This window comes from Homo sapiens, chromosome 11 (assembly GCF_000001405.40).
Source record: "Homo sapiens chromosome 11, GRCh38.p14 Primary Assembly".
In the NCBI taxonomy this organism is placed as follows: domain Eukaryota; kingdom Metazoa; phylum Chordata; class Mammalia; order Primates; family Hominidae; genus Homo; species Homo sapiens.
In genome coordinates this window covers 69,502,116-69,526,047 of record NC_000011.10, presented here as the reverse complement: position 1 = coordinate 69,526,047, position 23,932 = coordinate 69,502,116, and the positions used below count along the sequence as shown (strand labels likewise).

The following is a 23,932-nucleotide window of genomic DNA, read 5'->3' as shown; positions in this document are numbered from 1 at the left end:
AGAGTCATGCACACAGTAGGGCTCAGGAAAGGCGAGTGGAAACATCTATTTATTTGTTCATTCAATCACTCAGCTCAGCACCCCAGTGTGCCTTGCCTGTGCCAGGCACTGTTCCAGGCACGGGTGTGACAGGGAACAAGGCGTGGCCTGCATGGGCTCTCCTAGTTGGCAAGAGGATTCGACAAGGGTAACTCAATCCATAGTAATATGAGTCTGAGGACAGAGAATCTGGGAAGAGGTAAAATGGGGTGGAGGAGAAGGGAGTGCTGGGGGTTGCTGGTGCTGCTCTTTGGTACAGGGCGGTGGGGACCCCCCAGCAAGGTGATGCCGCACAGAGGCTGAGGGGAGTCGGGGACAGCGAGTTCCCGCAGCAGGATCTGCAGGTGCAGGCATCCTGGGTGCACTTTTGCTTGGCGTTCCTGAGAAACAGCAACGAGGCCCTGGCTGGAGTGGGGCAGGGGAGAGGCTCTAGGAGGCTGGCTCTGAGGATGTGGTGGGCTCCAGCAGGGACCCTGAGTTCTATCCTAATCGAGGGTAAGTTCCGAAATGTTTACCAGGTGGGGCACCACAACCAGACCCTGAAGCAGGTTCTGGAGTCCCCACTTCCCGTGCCAAGTGCCAACCCTTTAGTTGCCAGATTATGGGGAAGTCTGGCGGCTCCTCGGAAAGCAGTGCATAATAACCACTGTGGATGTAGGGACACATTCTAATAGCCTGCGCAGCCACCCCTGAGCACCACGGACCAGCAGCTGTCATGCTGAGTGAGAGGATGGCCACCGCAGGTGTGCGGCAGGAACAGCCCCTCCTCCTGTGCGAGGAGAGGCCCGTGGAGGCAAGCATGGGGACGGGGCGGGCAGGGATGAGGGCAGAGGGGGCAAGTGTGGGGACGGGGCAGGCAGACATGGGGGCAGGCCCAGGGAGCAGGTCCCGCGGTGGCCCTCCAGGGTGCCTCTCTACCTGTGCAGCCTCTCCTTTCAGGCCCCCTGGCAACTCCAGCCCCAGTTCCCCCCAGCCCCTCATCACACCGCGCAGGGTGATGAAAATTCTCCATCTTGGGTGTTTTGCTGTCATTTCCCGAGGGAGCCATTTGCCCCCAAGGGGACCGTGAGCTCCTTGGGGCTTCCATGACAGCAGCGATATTTGTCTTTGGACACAGACAGACCTGACCTGAAATCTCTGCCCCATCACTTGCAAGCCATGACTTGGTTCCGGTCACTTTCCTTTCTCGGTCTCCACTGTTTTGTCTGAACTTGAGGGGTGACGCCTGCCTATTTCATGAGTCATTGCAAAGACTAAAGGAGGGACGGCAAGCAAAGCAGAGGCCAGCATCTGGTAGGTGTGCAGGAAGTGGTGGCCGATAGCTGTGTCCTCAGGGCCCCCACTCCCCAGCGCCTTGGCAAGAAGTTGGGCCGCTGTCAGGCGACACCCACGCCTCCTCCAGCCGCCGGGAGGGAGAGGGCTGCATTCCTGGAAGAAGCCCAGGCTTTATTTATCTATTTATCTATTTACCCAGCAACTCATCTCTTTATTTCCAACTCTAACATCATCTCATTAGGGAGGCACCAATAAGGACAAAAAAAGTGAAATTGATACCAGGTCCTTTTTAAGTGGGGAGCTGGCTGCCTGCGGCCTCGGGAGAGAGGCTGCTTTCTGATCTCTTTCCAGTGAGTGGGTGCCCTGGGGCTTCTGCGGAGAGTTTCCTAAGATCCCTCTCCATACCAGGCCAGCCACCTCCGTCCTTCACCACATCAGGGGAAGGCTACACGCTGCTTCAAAGTCACAGCAACGCTCTGCAATTGGAAACATGCATGTTTTGCAAAGTATCAATTTAGCAACTAGTTCAATTGGCCAGGCGGGGCAGGCCAGCTGGTTGAGTTTCTATTCAGGAATGGCATATAGCCTGGAGTTCAGAAGGCCTGGGTTCGAGCCCTGGATTTGGCATTCACTAGCTGGGTGACATTAGACAAGTTTGTGCCTCCTTCTGGCTCTGGTGTCCTGGTTCCTAGGTGGAAAACCACCCAGGAGCCATTATTGACTGGTTCAGACCATATGGAAGACACAGAAGAGAAAAGGTTTCCCAGACCAAACCTTGGGATGCTTAGTAGAGGAATCTCATTCCACATTATCAGGCTCAGCTCTTGAATTGCTAGTGGAACTGGTAGCAACCTATCCTTGGCTTCTCTGTCAGTTTGGGCTGTTTTGTGACAGGAAGCAGAAAACCCACCCCAAAGTGGCCCACCCAGTTGGGAAGGGTGGTGGCAGGTAGGCTTCCGGTGCAGTTTAACCAGGGCTCTGGCTTCAGAGTTCAGCAGTTCTCTTGCTGTGTCTGCTTCTTGTTGGTGCTGTTATTGGGCTAGGTTACCTCATGGCAACAAAGTAGCTGCAGTAGCTCCAGGCTTTGTATCTGCACCCCTTACTGGTCAGAGCGAGAGAGAGGTCTTAATCTAACAGAAGTCTTGAGCCTTGTTCTGGTTAGACCAACCTGAGTTAATCACTGTGGCCAGGGAAGTGCTGTGTGCTTGCTGATCAGCTGAGTTGTTTTTGATCCCTAAAGGAGTCACTCTGGCAAGGGGGTTAAGATGATCGTGATTATCTTAGACCAAACAGACGCCACTCTGCAATTTGGAGTGGGGTGGACTCTGCAGAAACCACCTAGCTGTCACACATGGGCAGTCTGGGGAGATCTAAACCTACTATGGGATCAGCTCCTGCCATCAGACTCTAAGCCATCCAGTCTCTGGGCTGGGGCCATCCATTCAACCTTCTGGGATGACCTGGAATCTGGGCTCTGAATGTGGCTCCAAAGTGGCAGTGCCCTTCTACAAGCACAGCTTTGAGAAAAACAGAGCAGGGAAATGCACGTTTATTCTCTTCTACTGTGCACTAACCTCTTTTGCCTGTGCCACCTCACCTGTCCTCACAACAGCCATAATGCCCTTGTGCAGGTCAGGATATGGGCACAGTGAAACGAGGTAGTCTCTTCACTGTCCTCAGCAAGTGAGCTGCAGAGAGGGTTCTTCCAGACTCCAGTGGCCTGTCAGCAGACCTGATTAGCTTTGACTCCAAGGAGGCTGTGAATTGTGGAGGGAGGGATTGGAATAGAAATATTCTAGAATCAGGGGATGGTAGGTTATGCTGATAATGGGGTCCTTATAGATTGTGAGCATCCCAGATAAGCTGAGGTTTTGGAAAGAGAATACTTGGATTAGGGTCCTGCAGCTACCACTTATGACCAGGAGACTTACCTGAACTTCCTGAGTTCTGTGGTGACATAGTTCAGATATTTGTCCTTGCCCACATCTCGTGTTGAACTGTAATCCTCAATGCTGGAGGTCAGGCCTGCTGGGAGGTGTCGGGGTCCTGGAGGCAGATCCCTCATGGCTTGGTGCTGTCTTTGTGATAGTGAGTTCTTGTGAGATCTGGTTGTTTATCTGGCACCGGCTTCACTCTCTCTCTCTCTTGCTCCTGCTTCACCTTCTGCCATGATCGTAAGCTTCCCTAGGTCTCCCCAGAAGCCAAGAAGATGCCAGCTCCATGATTTGTGTAAAGCCCGCAGAACTGTGAGCCAATTAAATCTTTTTCTTTATAAATTACTCAGACTCAGCTGGGCGCGGTGGCTCACGCCTGTAATCCCAGCACTTTGGGAGGCCAAGGTGGGCGGATCACGAGGTCAGGAGATCGAGACCATCCTGGCTAACATGGTGAAACCCTGTCTCTACTAAAAATACATAAAATTAGCCGGGCGTGGTGACAGGTGCCTGTAGTACCAGCTACTCAGGAGGCTGAGGCAGAAGAATGGCATGAACCCAGGAAGCAGAACTTGCAGTGAGCCGAGATCGCGCCACTGCACTCCAGCCTGGGTGACAGAGTGAGACTCCATCTCAAAAATAAAAATAAAAATAAAAATAAAAAAATAAATAAATAAACAAATTACTCAGTCTTGGGTATTTCTTTATAGCAATACAACAATGGCCTAATGTAGAAAATTGGTACTAAGAGTGGGGTATGGAGGTATTAATATGAGGATACCTGAAAATGTGGAAGCAGCTTTGGAACTGGGTAAGGAGCAGAGGTTAGAAGAGTTTGGAGAGCTCAGAAGAAGACATGAAGATGAGAGACAGTTTGGAACCTCTTAGAGAATGGTTAAATGATTGTGACCAAAATGCTGATAGTGATATGGACAGTGAAGTCTAGGCTGCCAAAGTCTCAGGTGGAAATGAGAAACTTATTGGGAACTGGAACAAAGATCACATGTGTTAAGCCTTAGTAAAGAATTCGGTTGCATCGTGGTCATGCCCTAGGGGTCTGTGGAAGCTTGAGCTTAATTTGCTAGAGATATTTGCATAACTAAAAGGAAGCCAAGTGCTACTATCCAAGACAATGGGAAAAGACCTCAAAGGCATTTCAGAGACCTTCACGGCAGCCCCTCCCATCACAGGCCCCGAGACCTAGAAGGGAAGATTGGTTTCAGGGCCCAAGTCCAGGGCCTTCCTGCCCTGTGCAGCCTCAGGACATTGCTTCCTGCATCCAGGCTGCTCCAGCTCTAGCTGGGGCTCAAAGGTGTCCAGGTATAGCCCAAGCTGCTACTTTGGAGAATGCAAGCTGTAAACCTTTGTGGCTTCCCCATGGTGTTAAGCCTGAGGTGCACAGAATAGTGCAACAGTGAAAGAGGTTTGGCAGTTTCTGCCTAGATTTCCGAAGATGCATGGAAAAGGTTGGTTATCCAGGCACGAGCCTGCTGCAGGGGTGGAGCCTTCACAGAGAACCTCGACTAGGGCAGTGTGGGGAGAAAATGTGGGGTTGGAGCTCCCACACAGAGTATCTACTGGGGAACTGACTAGTGCAGCTGTGAGAAGGGGGCCACCATCCTCCAGACTCAAGAATGGTAGATTTTTTGGCAGCTTGCACCATGCACCTGCAAGAGTTATAGGCACTAACACCAGCCCATGAAAGCAGCTGTGGGGGCTGAACCCTGTGAATCCACAGAGGCAGAGCTCCCCAAGGCCTTGGAAGCTGCCCCTTGCATCAGTGTGCCCTGGATGCAGGATATGAAGTCAAAGGAGATTATTTTGGAACTGCAGGATTTAATGACTGCCCTGCTGGGTTTTGAACTTGCATGGGGGCTATAACCCCTTTCTTTTAGCCAGTTTCTCCCTTTTGGAATGGAGATGTTTATCCAATGCCTATACCCCCATTGAATCTTGGGGGTAACTAACTTGTTTTTGATTTTACAGGCTCATAAGTGAAAGGGATTTGCCTTGTCTCAGATGAGACTTTGGACTTTTGAGTTAATGCTGGAATGAGTCAAGACTTTAGGGGACTCTTGAGAAGGCATGATTGTATTTTGCAATGTAAGAATGACATCTCTTCCCCTCATGATGCTCCTGCTTACATGGCAGGAACAGGAGGAAGAGATAGAGTGGAAAGAGATTTGGGAAGAGCCAGGGGTGGAATGATATAGTTTGGACCTTTGTCCCCACCCAAATCTTGTGTTGAATTGTAGTCCACAATGCTGGAAGTGGGGCCTGGGGGGAGGTGTTTGGGTCATGGGGGTGGATCCCTCATTGCTTAGTGCTTTCTTTGTGAAAGTGAGTTCTCCTGAGATCTGGTCATTTCAAAGTATGTGGCAACTCCCACTCTCTCTCTCTCTCTCTTCTTCCTGCTTTTGCCATGTGAAATGCCTGCTCTCCCTTAGCCTTCTGCCACAATTGAAAGCTTCCTTGGTCTTCACCAGAAGCTGAGGAGATGCCAGCACCATGCTTCCTGTAAAGCCCACAGAACCATGAGCCAATTAAACCACTTTTCATTATAAATTACCCAACCTCGCATATTCCTTTTTCTTTTCTTTTCTTTTCTTTCTTTCTTTCTTTCTTTCTTTCTTTCTTTCTTTCTTTCTTTCTTTCTTTCTTTCTTTTTTTTTTTTTTTTTTTTAAAAAAAAGACAGTGTCTTACTCTGTCACCCAGGCTGGAGTCCAGTGGTGCAATTATGGCTCACTGAAGCATCAACCTCCCGGGTTCAGGTGATCCTCCCATCTCAGTCTCCCAAGTAGCTAGGACTACTGGTGGCACATGCTACCATGCCCAGCTATATATATATATATATTTTTTTGTAATTTTTGTACAGATGAGCTTTCACCATGTTGCCCAGGCTGGTCTCCAACTCCTGGACTCAAGTGATCCTCCCAGCTTGGCCTTCCAAAGTGCTGGGATTACAGGCATGAGCCACTGTGCCCAGCTGGTATTTCTCTGTATCAAGAAGAGCCTGATACATGTGGCAACGGGAATACTGAATGTTAGTAAGTCCTGCTGTAAAGGGTAAGCAAGTCAACTGTGCTCCTCACACCTTTCCACTGAAGGGACCCACCAGCCGAGGGAGAACTTTCTGTCCCTGGCCACCATCAAGTAGTCTGAAGTGCCCTCTGTGGGGTGGGGATTGTGTCTCGTGGGTTCTCACTAATTCCCTTGGAAAGATCCAATCAAGGTGGCAGTCAGCACACACAAGGCTACATCCTTGAAAAATCACATGAGATGTCCAAAGAGGTGCTGTGAATGTGTCATAAGAAACATCATCTTTAGTGACTTAAAAACATCTGGGATTCTTGGAAGGTGGGAAGCAGACAGGAATAGCTATAGAAAAACAGCCACAGCTCTGAAGCATTTGTAGAAGGCTGCCTAGAGAGCAGGGGAGCCAACTTCGGAGCTAGGTGGCTGAAAAGTGGGCAGGTAGGGTACAGGTTGGGGTCCCTGACCCCAGCATGGTGGTTTTCCTCAGGCCATGGGCAGCAGAGACATTTGCTCCCTCACCATCTGTGAGAGTAAGTGCTGTGCCCAGGGGGCAGGCCCTGGAAGAACAAGAGCTTGGCTCCCTCCTTGCCCCCACACCATTGTCAGGGATGGCTTCAGACCAGGGGGCAGAGGAACGAGTAGTTCTGGCTACAGCACTGATCTGGCAACCGGGGATCCCCAGGACTTTGAGTAAAAAGAAGACCAGACCCAACAACAGAAAAACAAATGCTGCAGAAATAAAATTAAACAGCAAAGGGAAGAGATTTAAAATATACACACTCATAAACATTACCATCTTCAGGGAATGCTGAGGATGTCCAAAATAGAAGCAGTTGCAGAGCTTGGGAATTACATATTTGATTGTCAAAAAGAAAATAAAAATCAATTGATGGGATAAATACCATAATGGACACAGCTGAAGAACAAATTCATGAGCTGGAATTCCAAGCTGAAGAATTCTCCCAGTACCCAGAAGGAATGAACCAAGAGGAAGATCCAGATGTTCCCACATCCGCGGATGGAATTTCCAGAAAGAATTAAAAGTGCAAACAAAGATGAAGTAATGATGGAAGAAGTCATGTGTATTAGTCTGTTCTCACACTGCTATAAAGAAATACCCAAGCCTGGGTAATTTATAAAGAAAAGAGGTTTATTTTGGCTCACGGTTCTTCAGGCTGTACAGGAAGCGTGGCAGCATCTGCTTCTGGGGAGGCCTCAGGATCATGGCAGAAGGCAAAGGAGGAGCAGGCATCTTACAGGCAGGAGCAGGAGGAAGAGAGAATGGGAGGTGTCTTGCACTTTTAAACAAACCAGATCTTGTGAAAACTCACTCACTATACAGTACCAAGAAGGGTTGGCGTTAAAACATTCATGAGAACTCTGCCCCCATGATCCAGTCACCTCCCACCAGGCCCCACCTCCAACACTGGGGATTGCATTTCAACATGAGGTTTGGGTGAGACCCAAACCATATCATCATGGTAGATGTTTTCCCCAGTTGGGGCAGGATATGAGTCTTAGGTTGCTGGGATCTACTCCATATAAGGCAGAACAGTTGTGAAAGGGGAAAAGATTCTTAAAAAAATCTGAAAGATGATTCACATTAAAGATTTTTTAAAATTTACTGTATAAATTTTGAGTGTACAGTGTGATGTTTTAATATACATACACATACAGTGAAATGATTACTACAGGTAAGCAATTTAACATATCCTTCATCTAACATAGTTACCTTTTCATGTGTGGTAAGAGCACCTAAAATCCACTCTTAGAAAACTTTTCATTGTAAAATGCAATATTATTAGCTAGAGTTCTCATGCTGTACTGTAGGTCTCTGGATCTCTGGATTTATTCATCTTATGTAATTGCAACTTGGTATCCTTTGATATACATCTCCCATACACCCCGCCCTGCCCCATCCACACACAATAAATATTTAGTTGGGTGAAATTTCAGGGTAGTATAGATAGAAACTCCTAAAAGCTTCCAAGGGTGAAAACAGGTCACATTCAAGGAAATGAGAATCTGATGGGCATGAACCTCTCAGCCATACCAGGTGCAAGAAGACATCAGGGAAATGGCTGCAGAATTTAAGATTGTGCAGAGGTCTTAGAGACTGCCTGGTGGAAATGCTGCATTTCACCACGGGGAAGATGAAGCTGCACCGAGGAGCAGCCCACCCCGCCTTAAGCTAATCAGGCAGTGCCATGACTGGGGAAGCAGTGGGGTTGGGGGTTGAGGTGCAAACGAAGTTTCTTCCTAAAATTCAGTGAGTATTCATCTCTATGCTGGGTGGCCTAGGGTGCAGTGGCAAAACAAAACAAAACAAAACAAAACAAAAAAACAGATGCAATTTCTGTTGTCATGGAATTCATGTCCTCATGGAAGAGAGGGAAAAATATAAAATTACAATTTTGGTGAGTTCTGCTAAGGAGGCACACATGGGCGGAGTTGACCATCCAAGGAGGTCAGGGTCTCAGTCTTCCCAGAGAAACGGATGGTTTAGCTGAGCTCTGGGGATGGATGGGAATGGATTAGATATGTCAAGGCCCTGCTGTAGGAAGAAGCACAGGGTGGACAGAGCCCAGGAGCCTAGGTCAGTGGAGAGCAGCTGACAGGGCCAGGGCCAGTGGGAAAGGCTGGAGGGGAAGAGGGGGAATTCCTACAGGGCTTGGCAGAACTAGAGAATGGGCTGGAGGGCTGCAAATGGAGACCAGGGAAGGCTGATGGAGCCATCCAGGGAAGAGATGCTTGGGCTAAGGCAATGGCAATGCAGGTGGCAGGAGGGGGCAGCTCAGAGGTGGTGCAGGAGGTGAAGTGGACAGTGCCAGTGGACAGAGGGAGTGTGGAAGTGAGGGCAGGAGGTGCTGGGTTGACTGTGGGTTTCCGGTGAGGATTTCCCTGCTCTAGACCTTCATGGGAGTGGAATCACACAACATGTGGTCCTTCCTGACCCTTCTTTGACTCAGCATCATGTTTAATCATGACTTTTTATCACCTTCAGCTGCTGAAGAGTTTTAAGAAGGTGGGTGACTCACACAAGTGGTCTTCCAGAAAGATGGCCTCAATGCCGCCATGTTCCCATGGACCTGAGCCAAGCTCTTCCCAGCACGGGAGCAGCTCACTCCTGCCCTCAGGACCTGGCACAACTGCTGCAGTTTAGAGGAAGCTTCTGGCACCCTCTCCTCCTCCTCCACCTGGTTAGAAGCCAGGATCCCTCATCTATGTCTCTGCTGTCGGCTGTGACTAAACCAAGAGGAGCTAGATGTCTCTGCCCATTTTCTATTGCTTATAACAGAATACCTGAAACTAGGTAATCATCTATAAAGAAAAGAAATTTGTATCTTACAGTTCTGTAGGCTGAGAAGTCCAGATCGAGGGGTTGCATCTGGCGAGGGCCTTCTTGCTGCTGGGGACTCTCTGCCAAGTCTCAAGGCAGTGCAAGAAATCACATGGTGATATGGTTTGGATGTTTGTCCTCTCCAAATCTCACATTGAAACATAATCCCCAATGTTGGAGGTGGGGCCTGGTGGAAAGAGTTTTGATCATGGGGTGGACTCCTCATGAATGGCTTGGTGCTGTCCTCAAGATAGTGAGTAAGTTCTCTTGATATCTGGTTGCTTAAAAGTGTGTGGCCCTCCCCCTTCTCTCTCTTGCTTCCACTTTAACCATGTGATGCCTGCTCCCACTTGGCCTTTCATCATGAGTAAAAGCTCCCTGAGGCCTCACCAGAAGCCAAGCAGATGTGGGCACCATGCTTCCTGCACAGCCTGCAGAACTGTGAGCCAATTAAACCTCTTTCCTTTAAACATTTCGCAGCCTTAAGAATGTCTTTATATTGATGTGAAACTGCTGAATACACATGACCGGGGCTGGGTGTGCTGGCTCAGATCTCTCTTCCTCTTTTTATAAAGCCTTCAGTTCCACTCCCATGACAACCTCATCAATCCATTAAACTATTAATTCACTCATCTATGAATGTCTTAATCCATTCATGAGGGCAGAGGTGTCACGACCCAATCACCGCTTAAAGGCCCTACCCCTCCATCCTGCTACGTTGAGAATTACATTTCAACACGAGTTTCGGAGGTGAGAAACACGCAGACCACAGCACCAAGTGTCCAGGAAGAGCAAGCCCAGCCAGAAGCCTTTGGGCAGGCAGCAGCCACAGGGCCGTCTGCTAGAGGATCACTCCTGGGGTGGAGACACCTGGAAGCTCAGGTATGCCTCTTGTTTCCCCTAAATTAAACAACTGGTTTATTTGACCTGATTTGCAGAGATGGATCTGCAGGCCCAAGGTCAGGATGACTGAGAGCTCTGGTTACTGTGGATTTTAGGTAAACAGGATCCCAGAGGGCATGGGCGGAGTCATGCCAGCTCAGGGCACCTGTGCAGGTCTCCTGTATGGAGTGCTCGGTGGAGCTGCCTGAAGTCACCATGTGGGGAGCGGGAGGTGCCACATACTTTTAAAAAAAACAGCTTTGGGGAGAACTCACTCACTATACAGGACCAAGGGGGGATGGTGCCAAACCATTCACAAGATCTCCACCCCCGTGATCCAATCACCTCCCACCAGGCCCCACCTCCAACACTGGGGATTTCAGTTCAACAGGAGGTTTGGGTGAGATCTGAACCATCCAAACATCTTCATCATGGAAGACGTTGTCCTGTGTGGACGTTTCCCTGTCTCCATGTGGGGCCACGGCAGGTCCAGCTCTCTTGGGCACATTCAATGCTAGAGCCATGCTGTGGGGTTGTGAGACTCAGTGTCTAGTCCTGGCTCTTCTGCTGCTGGGCTGTGTGTTCCTAGGCAAGTAGCACAACCTCTCTGAGCACCAGTTTGCTCCTCTGTGAAGCAAGAAGCATCAGGGCCTCTGCCTTCCTCACTGGGCTCCTGGAATTGATCTGTGGAGTGGAGATGCCCCTCCTTTGACTCTCGCAGCCACCAAAGCCCCAGTCACACTGCACTTTCAACGCCAGCTGTGAACACCCGCATCCTCCTACACAGAGTGTGTTGTGAGGACAGAACCAAGTTGTGGCAGACATTTGTCCCTTTACCTCTTTTTTGGTTCTTATTTTTTATTTATTTATTTTTTTGCCTGAGATCCTTTCTACTGGGACATTCCTCAATGCATGAGTCTTTTTTTTTTTTTTTTTGAGATGGAATCTCACTCTGTCACGCAGGTTGGAGTGCAGTGGCACGATCTCGGCTCACTGCAAGCTCTGCCTCCCGGGTTCAAACAATTTTCTTGCCTCCGCCTCCCAAGTAGCTGGGATTACAGGCACATGCAATCATGCCCAGCTAATTTTTGTGTTTTTAGTAGAGACGGGATTTCATCATGTTGGCCAGGCTGGTCTTGAACTCCTGGCTTCAAGTGATCCACCTGCCTCAGCCTCCCAAAGTGCTGGGATTACAGGCATGAGCCACCGCGCCTGGCCCAATGCATGAGTCTTGGTGGGACTTTGTGACACCAGGAGGCAGAGCCTGGGTGCCTGGGGAAGAGTGGGACAGAGGTGGAGAGAGTCACCCCTCCTTCTGAGGCCCCTGTGGCTCTGTCACCTGAAGGAGGCTGTTCTGTCCATTGTCCAGCATCTACAGAAAGCCATTCAGCAGCCTGTCCGCCAGGTGTTCCTTCCACACAGTGCTTCCAGGCCTCCAAGTGTTCTAGAACACCCGGGGCCTCTCACGGTGTCGGCAAACATCTGGGGTTTGACAGGCTTCTTGGGGCCTGGGTGGCTGTTTGGGGCCTAAAGAGATGTAATGCGGAGTTGCAGAGAAGCCAAGAGGTGGGGCTGGAGGAAAAAGCCAAGGAAGAGGCTCTGGGCCTGCAAATCTCCCTCGCTTCCCATGGACGGGAAGGGGACCCGGGCCGGGGACACCAGCACTGAGCTTTCAGCTTGAGGCAAGATCTCCAGATGGGGTGGACACAGTCTGCAGAGGGAGTGAACTCCCCGTCCCCAGGGCTATTCAAGCAGAGGCTCCTTCCCTGGCCTTCGTGTCTCCTCCTTGTGCCTGGCTCACCCCCTTCTATGTAAGGAGAGAGTCATCACAGCTCTCCCCATGGGGAGGGAAAAAGGGAGGAGGATGAGAGGGAGCGAAGGAAAGAAGGAGACGGAGGAAGAGAGGAAGGTGAGAAGGAAGGAAAGGAAAAAGGGAAGATGGGAAGCAGGGAGGGAGAAGAGAAGGGAGGGAGAGAAGGGGGAATCTGGCCCCCACGAGCAAGACCCTAACATTCTCTCTTCGTGGAGGCTGATGGAAGCTGACTTCTGTGCGGCAGGAAGTGCCGTACACCCGCTGTCACCAGGTGGTGGGGGGCGGGTCTTGCAGAGGTCACCTCAGTTGTCTCCCCACTGTCCCCAATTACCCAGGCCAGATAGGAGGAGAAGGAGGTGAGCCCCTCTTCCCGGCCCTGGACGCCATCCGCGTGCAGGACACAGACAGACACCGCAGCAACAAGGCCCAGACCCCATGGAGGGGAGGGTGTGGAAACTCAGGAAGGTCATCCTGCAGGCTGGGAGTCTTCAGGAGCTCAGGGGTCAGGGAGGAGGGAGAGACCTCCACTGTGACCTGGCCAGGGAGCGAGAGAGCAACAGTGAGAGGGCGGCCCCTCCGCTGACCCCAGAGAGGTTGGCGGGTGAAGGCCAAAGCCGAGCTCTGACATACTTGCACTCTCAGGAAGGACTGGTGGGCACGGAGGGGCCTCCTGCTGCGTCCCACAAGCGGGTCAATGTCTTGGGTTGTTTCTGGTTCCGAGCATCACAGTGTTCAGAACAACTTGGCAGCTGAACGACGCTTTCTATCTTGGGTTGTGTCGGGGAGAGGAGTTTCATCCTGAAGGCAAAGGGGCCCCGGCCCGAGGACAGGACACCATCACTGGCAGCTTGCAAGCCCAGATGCTGGAGAAAGTGTCCCACTTGGGAGCAAGTCACCGCAAAGTCTCCACCTGTCTCCACTTCCCCAGGTGCCCGGATCTGTCCCTGCACTTCAGGGTGATCTCGGGGGCTCTCGCAGCCCTGCCCACATGGTGGGCCCCACCAACTTCTGGAACCCTCAGGGTACCTGGGAGGCTGCCAGGCAGATTAAAGACACCCCAGTTTTGACCATCCAGTCAAAACAGAAGCCACAGCCACTCAGAGGTGCACCTATCAGCACCGACCATGGCCCTGGGGTCTCGCTCCTTTCAGTGGCTGGCTAGGTGCGTGCACCTGTGCACCTGGAGCCCCACCAGGAAACATACTTCAAAGCCTGAGCCAAGGGCATGCTGACAGCAACTTTGGAGGCCACCCCCATCTCCCCTGCTCTTTCTGCATGGACCCCAAATACTCCCACTCATGAGACCAGGCCCTGGGCTGAGAAGGCAAGATCCCCTTGCCCCACCCTGGCCGAATGAATGTCACCCTCCAGGTGCAGAGATGAGTGGGCTTGCAGCAGCAGCCAAGCTGACGGCATCCCTTCTGCTGGCCCCTAGACCTCCGCCTTCTGGCCCTTGGGCTCCATCTCTCCACTGTGCACTGACAGCCGAGGGCCGAGGATCGACCCTGGACGGGTGGGCAGGCATCCTCACTTTCCACTTCCAATGGAAGGGGTGAGCGACTTGGAATTCTAAACATCACTTTCCTCTGGATGGGGGAAAATGACCCTTGGAAAATTAGTGACAGCGCAACAATCATAGTGCGGGCCTCTGGTGGGGCTGTAGGAAGGATTAGAGGAAAGCAAATGCTTCCTCCGGCATCCACCGGTTGCTTGGACCGCATTCAGAACCCCCGGTGTGACTACTAGGTTCATGGCACACCCCACAACAGGATGGCAATGATGCGCTGTTTCCAAACAGATGCATCCCCCTCCCTCACTGGGCTTTCTGGTTGGTGCACTGAGCAGGGACGAGCAGCCCTGTGGCAATTAGGAGATGCCTCCGTCATCGATCCATTCAGCCGCTTGGCAAGAAGCAGACAGAAGCCCTCAAGGGACGATTCCCCGGCCACATGTGATGCAAACAAGACCGACCTCAGGAGTTTGGCTCAGAATACGGAATAACAACGTCATGTTGCAGTCATTTCCACTGTATGTTACCACAAAACATTTAGAATGATGGGCATTACCCATGAAGGATTGAAATATTTCCATCAAACTCGGACTTGAAGGCTTTGATTTATTTCCTCTGTGAAAGGAGATGGACCCCACCCTCGGCATAGCGTCCTGCACTGTTGGTGTAGTGTCTTGCTAGGAGGCCGGAAAACCAAGCTGGAGCCCGGGGCTGTGGGCATGAGCCACTGCCCTGTGTAGCTCCCTACAGATCTGCACCTCTGAAAGGTTTGCTGAGATGCTGCCCCGTCCAGGCCCAGAGTTGATGAGTTTCAGATCTTCTGCCTCGGCCACCCCTCCCTGTGGACAGAACTGCTAATTTTTGAAGTTCAAGGGATCCCCGCTTTCTTGTGAGCTGAACCCAGTCACCGTTTGGACCCCAAGGCTTCCTTTGTCCTTACTGACCCAGCGTGGCCATTTCCAAGTGGCCAAGCTGCCTCACTGAGAAGCACAGACCTGTTAGAAGATGCCAGAAGCACCCCCAGAAGATGCCAGGCCCGCCAGCAGACAGAGATGCATCTTCAGAGAAGAGAAGTTGTCATGCCCAGACCTTCCAAGAAGCCGGGCTGGAGATGTGTGTGAGATGGAGCCTCTAGTCACCCCATCTATCCTGATCTGACCCACGCAGTGGTCACAGTCAGGCTTCATAGAGTCCCCCAGAGGGTGGGGTCTTAAGGAACTCAGTGACCCAGACAGACCTGAGCTTCGGTCCAGGATCTTTGGATTCACGTGCAGTCTGTCCCAGTGGGATGCTGACCAGGTCGGGTGGCTCCTACCTCCCTCTGGGGCTTGTTGGTGTACAGGTGTGCAGGTCAAGGTGATCACAGGTTGCTGGAAGCACCTACTTTCCTGCAGGTAGATGCTCACACCTGCTGAAACAGCCCCCAGGCCTGGGTCTCTGGATTCTGCCTCACATCCCAGAGTCAGGGGTTGCAGAAGCCTGTATTGCCTGGGCGGGGGAGGGGGAAGCTGGGCTAGCAAGGGCTTGTTGGGGCCTGAGTCAGAAGTGGGTGTGATCTACAGGGAGGGGCTCGAGCACTGGACATGAGCGTGCCAGACCCAGCAGGGGCTGTGGGAGCAGCTCTAGGCTCAGTCTGCAGACCTGGCCTCCAGACTACTCTTCTCGTCTCCCAATCTCGGTCTTCCCATCTGCAAAATGAGATTGTTGGCTCTCTCCTGGGGGCTTGCCAGATACCCCATTCCCAGATGGTAAATACGCTCCTGAAGAAGGTCCCCGGGGTCTTAGCTCGGGACCAGCCACTGCAGTCGGGCAAGGACAGGCCGCTGGACATGCTCAGATGAGGAAGGCAGAACTTTGAGAAGCAAGTTGAAAACTGGAATCTCTCATTTGGGTATTCTGAGTGGCATGATACGTTACGTGTGGGCTACCTGGAGAGGCGGGCCTGTCAGGCTATTTGGGTTCCCTGTAAGTGTGGGCAGCATGGGGCCGTGGGAGGGAGCTGACATGAGTGGCCAGGGCTGACCATGCCGACCATCTCCACCAGGACTCAGGATGCTGGCAGAGCCCCACCCAGACTTCTCCCAGTTTCTACATGCTGGATTTAGCACATAGAAGCACTGTGCCCCCCTGGGTGTCCAGAGCCTGGCACGTGGCCGGCTGTGAATACACAAGTGCTGAACACATAAGTACTGAACAAATGAATGGATGTGCCAGTGCCAGGCTTGTTGAGCTGGCCGCGGGCTCTGCTCGAATCCTTGATGTTTTTGTGCAGAAACTGCTCCACTTCCTGCATCCCCCTGCCAGGAGGCCTGGACCTCAGTCTGGGCTGAACTGGGCACTGTTATCCCTGGGCATGGGTAGGGTACCAAATCCTTAGGAGGGAAGAGCAGCAGTCATCTTTGCTGCCCCCAGGGCACACCCTGCTGAAGAGTCCCCTTTGCTCTCAAGGCCTTCGTCTCTCAGTCGGGATGCCTGGTGGTGGTGGTGGTCGGTGAAGGGGTGGGCAGGCAGTACCAGCTGGTCTCTGTGGGGAGCCTGAACTCCAGAGCCCTGCAGAGAGAGCCAGGCCTGGGCTCTAGTGCCTGCAGGTGCTGGCCAGGGGCCTGGCTGTGTCAGTTGGTCTGAGCTGTGGTCTGAGGGGCTCAGCAGGCACCACATCTGCCCCTGCCCAGCCAGCCTGGACCCAGGTGTCAGGTGCCCAGTGGTGAGGAGGTGGCTGCCCAGAGCGAGTCCTTCCTCACTTGTGCCATGGCGACCGTGCCTCCCCATGCTCTGTGGGCACGCCTGTGTGGACCTGCTGGATTTAGCACATAGAAATAGAGGACAGTCAATTAAATTGAGATTTCATGTACATTCATTTCATTTTCAGATAAATAAGGAATACTATTTTGTCAATATGCCCTGTGCGTTCTTGGGGACATACATTGATACATACTTATACCAACAAGTGGTTTGCTGTTTATCTGGAGTCCTGTGGACTTTCTGGAAGCACCATCCCTATGGGCTCGGCACCCGGCACAAACATGAGTCAGACTTCCTCCCTAAAGCGTGCCTCTGATCACCTCCCCTTCCTGCCCCCAAACCATCAGTGTCCCCAATCTGCGGAACTCCTCAACTCTTTAGATCACAACCACCATCAATCAAGATCCTCCTATCATACACCCCACATACTATTGTACTCACATCTTTATTATTTTTTTAGAGTGTTATCTTATTGATTTTACTCTAAGCATGGAGTGGTCTTGATTTTGTTTTACTCTTTTCTCCCCAGCATTACTGAGGAATAATCAACAAATTAAAATTGCTTATAGTCAAGGTGTACACCATGAGAATCTGATATACATATAGACTGTGAAATGATTATCACAATCAAATTAATTAACACACCCATCACTTCACATAGTTACTATTGTGTTTGTGTGTGTGTGTGTGTGTTTAGGGGGGTGAGGAACTAATGTATTTTTTACACGTATGCAGAAAAGAAATTAGTTTCTAACAGAGCTAATATATGCCCACCTGGGACCCAGCAATTCCGCTTCTAAGTATTTACCCAAAAGAAATAAGTGCATGTGTGTATAGCAAGACACCCACCAGAGCACACATGGCAGCTCCATCTAGAAGAGCCTCAAAGTGGAAACAGCTCAGGCGTCAACAGGAAAACAAACATAGACCTTGGGCAATGGAACACTTCTCAGGAGTGAAGAAGAGTGGTTCTGATAGAGGCAATAACATGGATGGATCTCAGAAACATTAGGACAAGAAACAAGGTTCATGCACTATGATTTCAGCTGTATGAGGTTCAAGGATGGGGAAAACTCATTCATGGCAGTGTGGTCAAATGCAAAATACCCAGTTAAAATTTGTGTTTCAGATAAATGATCAATAGTTTTTTTCGTGTGTGTAAATATGTCCCAGGATATGTCCCAAATATTTCATAAGACATACTTATACTAAAATTTTATTTGTTCATCCCTCATTGTAAGCCTTACTGGGCATCCTATTTGGGTTTTTTTTTTGTTTGTTTTTTGTTTTTTTGCTGCATTTTGCAAACCTAATGGGGAATCCCATAACGGGACTCTCTGGGTGTGTGAAATGAAATGTCCTATAGCCAGATCTTGGTGGTGGTTTCATGGGTGTACACACACACACACACACACATAAAAATTCATCAAGCTTAAGATTTGTTTATACACTTATGATTTGTCAACTTCACTCTATGAGAATTATACCTCAGTAAAAAGATATGAAGACAGGTACTTCCTGTACCTGATAAAGGACATTGAAACCAAACCAAACAACCCTGTATCTAATATTCTACTTAATACTGAGAGACTAGACTTTCCCCTAAGATAAGGGACATGGTAAGATGTCCATTCTTATCACTTCTACGCTGTTCTGGAGGTTCTAGAGGGGGTAATTAGGCAAGAAAAAGAAATAAAAGGCATCAAGATGGAAAGGAAAAAGTAAAGCTATTTCTATTTGCAGATGATCTTACATGTAGAAAATCCTAAGAAATTAAATAAAAAACTATTGGAGTTAATAGATGAGTTAGGTATGGTTGCAGGATATAAGATCAATATATAAAAATTCCTTTTATTTCTATACACTAGCAATGAACAAATCAAATATAAACTCATGTATTTATAGTCAACTGAATTTTGCAAAAAGTGTCAAGGCCATTTAACAAGGAATGTCTTTTCAACAAATGGTGCTGGAACAACTGGGTATCCACGTGTAAAAGATGCAATCGGACCTCTACCCCATACTGAATACAAAAATTAACTCAAAATAGATCAAAGACCTAAATGGAAGAAAACTATAAAACTTGTAGAAGAAAGTGTGGGTTTAAGTCTTTATGACCTTGCATTCTTAATATGACACCAAGAAAAAAAATCAAAAAACAAGTAACCAAACAAAAAGAAAAGATCTAGAATAGATGAATTAGATTTATTCATCCAATTCATAAATATATGAAAATAGATGAATTAGATTTCATCAAAATTAGATGAGTTGGTTTTCATCCAATTCAAAAAATCATAGATTAATTTCATCAAAATTAAAAACTTGGCTGCTATGGTGGCTCACGTCTGTAACTCCAGCACTTTGGGAGGCCAAGGTGGGTGGATCACCTGATGTCAGGAGTTGAAGACCAGCCTTGCCAACATGGTGAAACCCTGTCTCTACTAAAAATACAAAAATTAGCTGGGAATGATGGCGGACACCTACAATACCAGCTACTTGGGAGGCCGAGGGAGGAGAATCACTTGAACCCAGGAGGCAGAGGTTGCAATGAGCTGAGATTGAGCCACTGCACTCCAACCTGGGGGACAGAGTGAGATTCTGTCTCAAAAAAACAAAAATTAAAAACTCGTGTATTTCAAGGGAGACAATCAAGAAAGTGAAAAGACAACCCACAGAATGGGAGAAAATATTTGCGAATGTCATATCTGATAAAGGTCTAGTATCCAGAATATATAGAGGACTCTTACAATTCAACAGTAAAAAGACAAACCAAATAGAAATGGGCAAAGGGCTTGAATAGACGTTTCTCCAAAGAAAACATGCAAATGGCCAATAAGTCCATGAAAAGATGCTCAACATTATTAGTCATTAGGGAATCACAAATCCAGAGAAGACTAGGATGGCACTCCACAGCCACTAGGATAGCTAAAATTAAAAAGGCAGATGGTGTTAGGTATTGGTGAGGATGTGGAGAAACTGGAACCTCATTCGTTGTGGTGGGAATGTAAAATGATACAACCTGGCGATTCCTCGAAATGTTAAACGTAGAGTTACTGTGTGACCCAGCAACTCCACTCCTAGATATCTTCCCAAGAGAAATGGTAGCACTTGGACGTGAACATTCCCAGCAGTGTAATACCAGCCAAAAAACGAAACAACTCAAAAGCTCATCAACTGAAGGATGGATAAATAGCCTGTACTGTGCCCAAACCATGGGGTGCTATTCAACCATAAAAGAAGGTTTGCATTGACACACACTACAACACGGATGAACCCTGAAAGCAGCCAGTCACCAAAGCCACACGCAGTGTATGTTCCATTTGTATGAAATGTCCAGAAGCAGTCAATCCACCGAGCCAGAACGTGGATTAGTGGTTGCTGGGACTGAAGTGGAGCGGCGGATGTGGGGTGGCTGCTAATGGTGTGGGGTTTCTCGGGGGTGATAAAAATGTTCTAAAATTAGGAGTGGTGATGGTTGCACAACTCTGTGAATATACTCGAAACCACCGAATTTACACTGGAAATGGATGAATTGTATGGTATTCTTGGTCAATAACGCTGTTATTTCTAAAAAGGTCTGAGAAAATAAGGATAAATGTCTAGCGTTTCTTCCGCTTCCAGTGACTGGCCTTGTCACTCTTGGGCGTGTGGTCTGCCGACTCAGCCTAAAGTCAGCCGGCCACTGGAGGCCCTTGGTGATGTGGGCTGCCCTCTGTGCCTCCTGGTGTACACCCCATGGGGAAGTATGCCCAGATGTTCCAGAACCTTCCCACCTTGTGCCCCACCTTCATTTACCTTAAGCCTCACCCACCCACCTTCATCAATGGCCTCCCCTGGGCTCACAGTGACGGACCCTGATGGCAGAGGCATCCTGGGTAGCTTCCCTGGCTGCCCAGCATATGGCAGGAGGGGCTCACTTGTGGCTAAACCAACAGATATGGTTTGGATCTGTGTCCCCACCCAAATCTCATGTGGAATTATACTCCCCAGTGTTGGAGGTGGGTACTGGTGGGAGGTGATTGGATCCTGGGCACAGATTTCCCCCTTTGGTGCGGTTCTTGTGATAGTGAATGAGTTCTCACGAGATCTGGTTGTTTTTAAAAGTATGTGACACCTCCCCGCCCTCTCTCTCTTGCTCCTCCTCAGGTTATGTAAGAGGTGCCTGCTTCTCCTTCACCTTCCACCATGATCATCAGCTTCCTGAGGCCTCCCCAGAAGCCACTATGCTTCCTGCACAGCCTGTGGAACTGTGAGCCAGTTAAACCTTTGTTCTTTATTAATTACCCAGCCTCAGGTGTTTCTTTATAGCAGCTTGAGAAGGAACTAATCCACCAGCCAGGCTCCCCGAGACCAACACCTAACACTTTATGGGAAGCAGAGGGGTCAGAGTTCCTGCGAAGGCCTCACCCAGGGCACATGGCTGGGAGGTGGGTGGGTGCAGGGCATGCCTGCAGCATCTACCCCACCCCCACTCCCCACTTCATCCAGGGAGGCCCCTGCTCAGCCTTCTGGCCTCTGCTGGACCCTTTGAGGGCTCTTACAGGCTCAGAGAAAGGCAGCGTCCTTTTAGGAACGGAAAACCAGAAAGAATGCTTGAAAAGAGAGCTGCCTCCGAGGAGCGGACTGCCTGTTGGTTTCTTGGTGCCTTGCAGGGGAAGGGGACCTGCCCAGGGCTCCATCCACTTTGGGAATAGCCTTCTCAGGAGTGACAGAGCCGGGCCCTCGCCCTGCAGAAGCAGTGGTGAACATCCAAAGATGGAGTTTAGACATGCACTATTTTCCAGTGGTGCAGGGTTTGGCTCTGTGAAGCCGGCACAGCCAGATAGTTGAGAGCATTTTAAGTTTCACCCAACTAATGTTCAGTGTGATGAGGACACGGTCAGAAGCAGGGTGGAGGCTGGGGTCCCCAAGTGGGGTTTTAAAAATCTGTATCAGTTTCTCAGCCTGCAGTGATTTTGTCCCCACAGGCGTTTGATGGGATCTGGAGACACTCCCTTGTCACAACTGGAGGGGACCCTTCCGGCCTCTTGTAGGTGGAGGCCGGGGATGAGGAACACAGAACAGCCTCCGCTCCTCCCCTCAACAAAGGATGACTTGGCCCAACGGGCCCATGACACTGTGGCTGAGACACCTCGATCCTGTCCCAGGGAGGGATGAGGCCAGACCCTGGCTGAGAAACCCTCATCCTACCCCAGGGAGGGACGAGGCACAGACCCTGGCAGAAGGCATCCGAGCACAGCAATTCTCCCAGTGCGCTGACACTGGCTAAAGACATAGCCATTATTCTTTTGGGTGATAAAAGTGATGCATGCTTGTTGGAAAAAAATTTGAAGAACACAGAAAAATCCAAAGAAGAAAGTAAAAATCATTTAAAGCAGGGGGGAGAGCAGCAACATGATACATGCTCATGCTTCATGTTGTATTTTAATCTCAAACAGCATAACTGTGCAGTGGACCCTTAAACAACATGGAGAGTAGGAGACCAAGCCCCTGCAGATGAAAAATCCACCTACAACTTTCAACTCCCCCGAAACTTAACTACTAATAGCCTACTGTTGAGTGGAAGCCTTGTCTATAACATACAAAGTCAATTAACACATATTTTGTATGGTATAGACTATTCATGCCATAAAGCAAGCTAGAGAAAAGAACATGTTACTAAGAAAATCATAAGGAAGAGAAATGTATTTACTATTAAGTGGAAGTGGATCATGGTAAAGGTCTCCATCTTTGTGGTCTTCATGTTGTGTAGGCTGAGGAAGAGGAGGAGGAAGAGGAGGGGTGGGGGGTTGGTCTTGCCATCTCCTGGGTGACAGAGGCAGAAGAAAACCCAGGGAGAAGTGGAAAGACCCTCCAGTTCAAACCCGGGCTGTTTGAGGGTCAGCTGTACATTGATTTGATGAAACTGCCCACTGGAGTTCCACGTCTTCTCCTAAGCACAGACCACGCTCATTCTCAGTTTCAATTTCTTTAAGGTGAAGTGGAAGCTTACAGACATGTGACACAGTCTGAATTCAGGATTTTTCTAGAATGATATGAACGGGCATCACAATTGTTTCCAGCTGCCTCACCCTTTACTAGGCGGAAGCTTTTTTTTTTTTTTTTTAAAGCAACTTATCAGTATCATTTTCTAAAGCGTAAAGCTTCATTTTCGTAGATTAGTAACCATATTTTTGCACTCGGATTTCATAGGTAGGTTTATGTACTAGTTAACAAAATAAATTAAGTGATGCATGGTCAGCCTCCCGTATCCACTGGTTCTGCATCAACATATTCACCCAATCTTGGATCAAAATGATTTAAGGAAAAAATTCAGTTAAAAATACAACAATAAAAATAACACAACAATGAAACAAAAAATACAGAATAACAACTGTTTGCTTAGTATTACAATTACTTTAAATCTGGATTACTTATAATGCCTAATAAAATGTGGCATATTATATTTTACCACAAGGGTCCACTTACATGTGGATTTTCTTCCAACTCTGCCAACCCTGAGACAACAAGACCGCCTCCCCCATAATATTACACCACATTTTGTTAGGTATTATAAGTAATCTAGATTTAAAGTATGCAGGAGGATGTGCCTGGGTTCTATGCAAACACTACAGCATTGTATATAAGGGAGTGGAGCATTTGTGGATTTTGGTCTCCTTGGGGATCCTGGAATCAATCCTCCTTGGGTTCCAAGGGATGACCGTAGTTGTGATTAGAAGTACAGAGGTATTAGCAGATGCGTGAACCCACTGACCTCAGTGGGCAGATGCAGCTGGGAGTAGGTGGGCAGGGTGCCAGGAAGCAGGTGCCAGCTGGGGCTGCCAGTTCCATGTGGGCATCAGTGGAGCTCTGCAGCCAGAGTGGGGTGTGTGAGTTAATGTGGCTGGTTGGCTACTTAGAGGTCAGCTTGGTGGAGGCCAGCTAGGTGGGTCTGGTTAGGCGGCCTGTGTGGGTTAATGGGGCCGGTTGGCTTAGAGGCAGCTTGGTGGAGGCCAGCCAGGTGGGGCTGGTTAGGAGTCCTGCTATCTGTGGTCTTTCAGTCTGTTTCTCTGCGTGTGGCTGTAGATTTGCAAAATCGGCATTCTATTACACACGTGATCTAGCAGCCCCTCGTCCCCACTTAACAGCATACACACCTCCTGATAGTCCTGTTTCAATGTGGTGGAGGAGGAGCACAAAGCTCGCATCTCTCACCCCAGACTCTGGGGCCTGAGCCGAGAAAAGAAGGCCTGTGGAGTGGCGCACAGAGGTGAAGACAGGGATGGAGATGAGGGGTCAGGCCGTGGCCTCGCTGCACTCTCTCAGGTCCCGTGTGATTGAGCACCAGAGGCAGCATGCCCCAGGTGGCCGCGTCGGAGGT

General features: G+C 49.5%; 6 annotated features.

Annotated features, from left to right (window-relative positions):
• Positions 2,381–2,581: a silencer, noted in NCBI's record as "peak1326 fragment used in MPRA reporter construct". NCBI's record gives its function as "represses an SCP1 promoter by STARR-seq MPRAs in K562 erythroleukemia cells {active_cell/tissue: K562}" and the evidence as "EXISTENCE:reporter gene assay evidence [ECO:0000049][PMID:32103011]".
• Positions 3,826–4,582: an enhancer, noted in NCBI's record as "OCT4-NANOG-H3K27ac-H3K4me1 hESC enhancer chr11:69336234-69336990 (GRCh37/hg19 assembly coordinates)". NCBI's record gives its function as "activates a minimal SCP1, AML or CMV promoter by ChIP-STARR-seq in naive and primed H9 embryonic stem cells {active_cell/tissue: H9 hESC(naive and primed)}" and the evidence as "EXISTENCE:reporter gene assay evidence [ECO:0000049][PMID:30033119]".
• Positions 4,583–5,340: an enhancer, noted in NCBI's record as "OCT4-NANOG-H3K27ac-H3K4me1 hESC enhancer chr11:69335476-69336233 (GRCh37/hg19 assembly coordinates)". NCBI's record gives its function as "activates a minimal SCP1, AML or CMV promoter by ChIP-STARR-seq in primed H9 embryonic stem cells {active_cell/tissue: H9 hESC(primed)}" and the evidence as "EXISTENCE:reporter gene assay evidence [ECO:0000049][PMID:30033119]".
• Positions 11,994–12,494: an enhancer, noted in NCBI's record as "H3K4me1 hESC enhancer chr11:69328322-69328822 (GRCh37/hg19 assembly coordinates)". NCBI's record gives its function as "activates a minimal SCP1, AML or CMV promoter by ChIP-STARR-seq in primed H9 embryonic stem cells {active_cell/tissue: H9 hESC(primed)}" and the evidence as "EXISTENCE:reporter gene assay evidence [ECO:0000049][PMID:30033119]".
• Positions 14,756–15,384: an enhancer, noted in NCBI's record as "H3K4me1 hESC enhancer chr11:69325432-69326060 (GRCh37/hg19 assembly coordinates)". NCBI's record gives its function as "activates a minimal SCP1, AML or CMV promoter by ChIP-STARR-seq in naive H9 embryonic stem cells {active_cell/tissue: H9 hESC(naive)}" and the evidence as "EXISTENCE:reporter gene assay evidence [ECO:0000049][PMID:30033119]".
• Positions 15,385–16,013: an enhancer, noted in NCBI's record as "H3K4me1 hESC enhancer chr11:69324803-69325431 (GRCh37/hg19 assembly coordinates)". NCBI's record gives its function as "activates a minimal SCP1, AML or CMV promoter by ChIP-STARR-seq in naive H9 embryonic stem cells {active_cell/tissue: H9 hESC(naive)}" and the evidence as "EXISTENCE:reporter gene assay evidence [ECO:0000049][PMID:30033119]".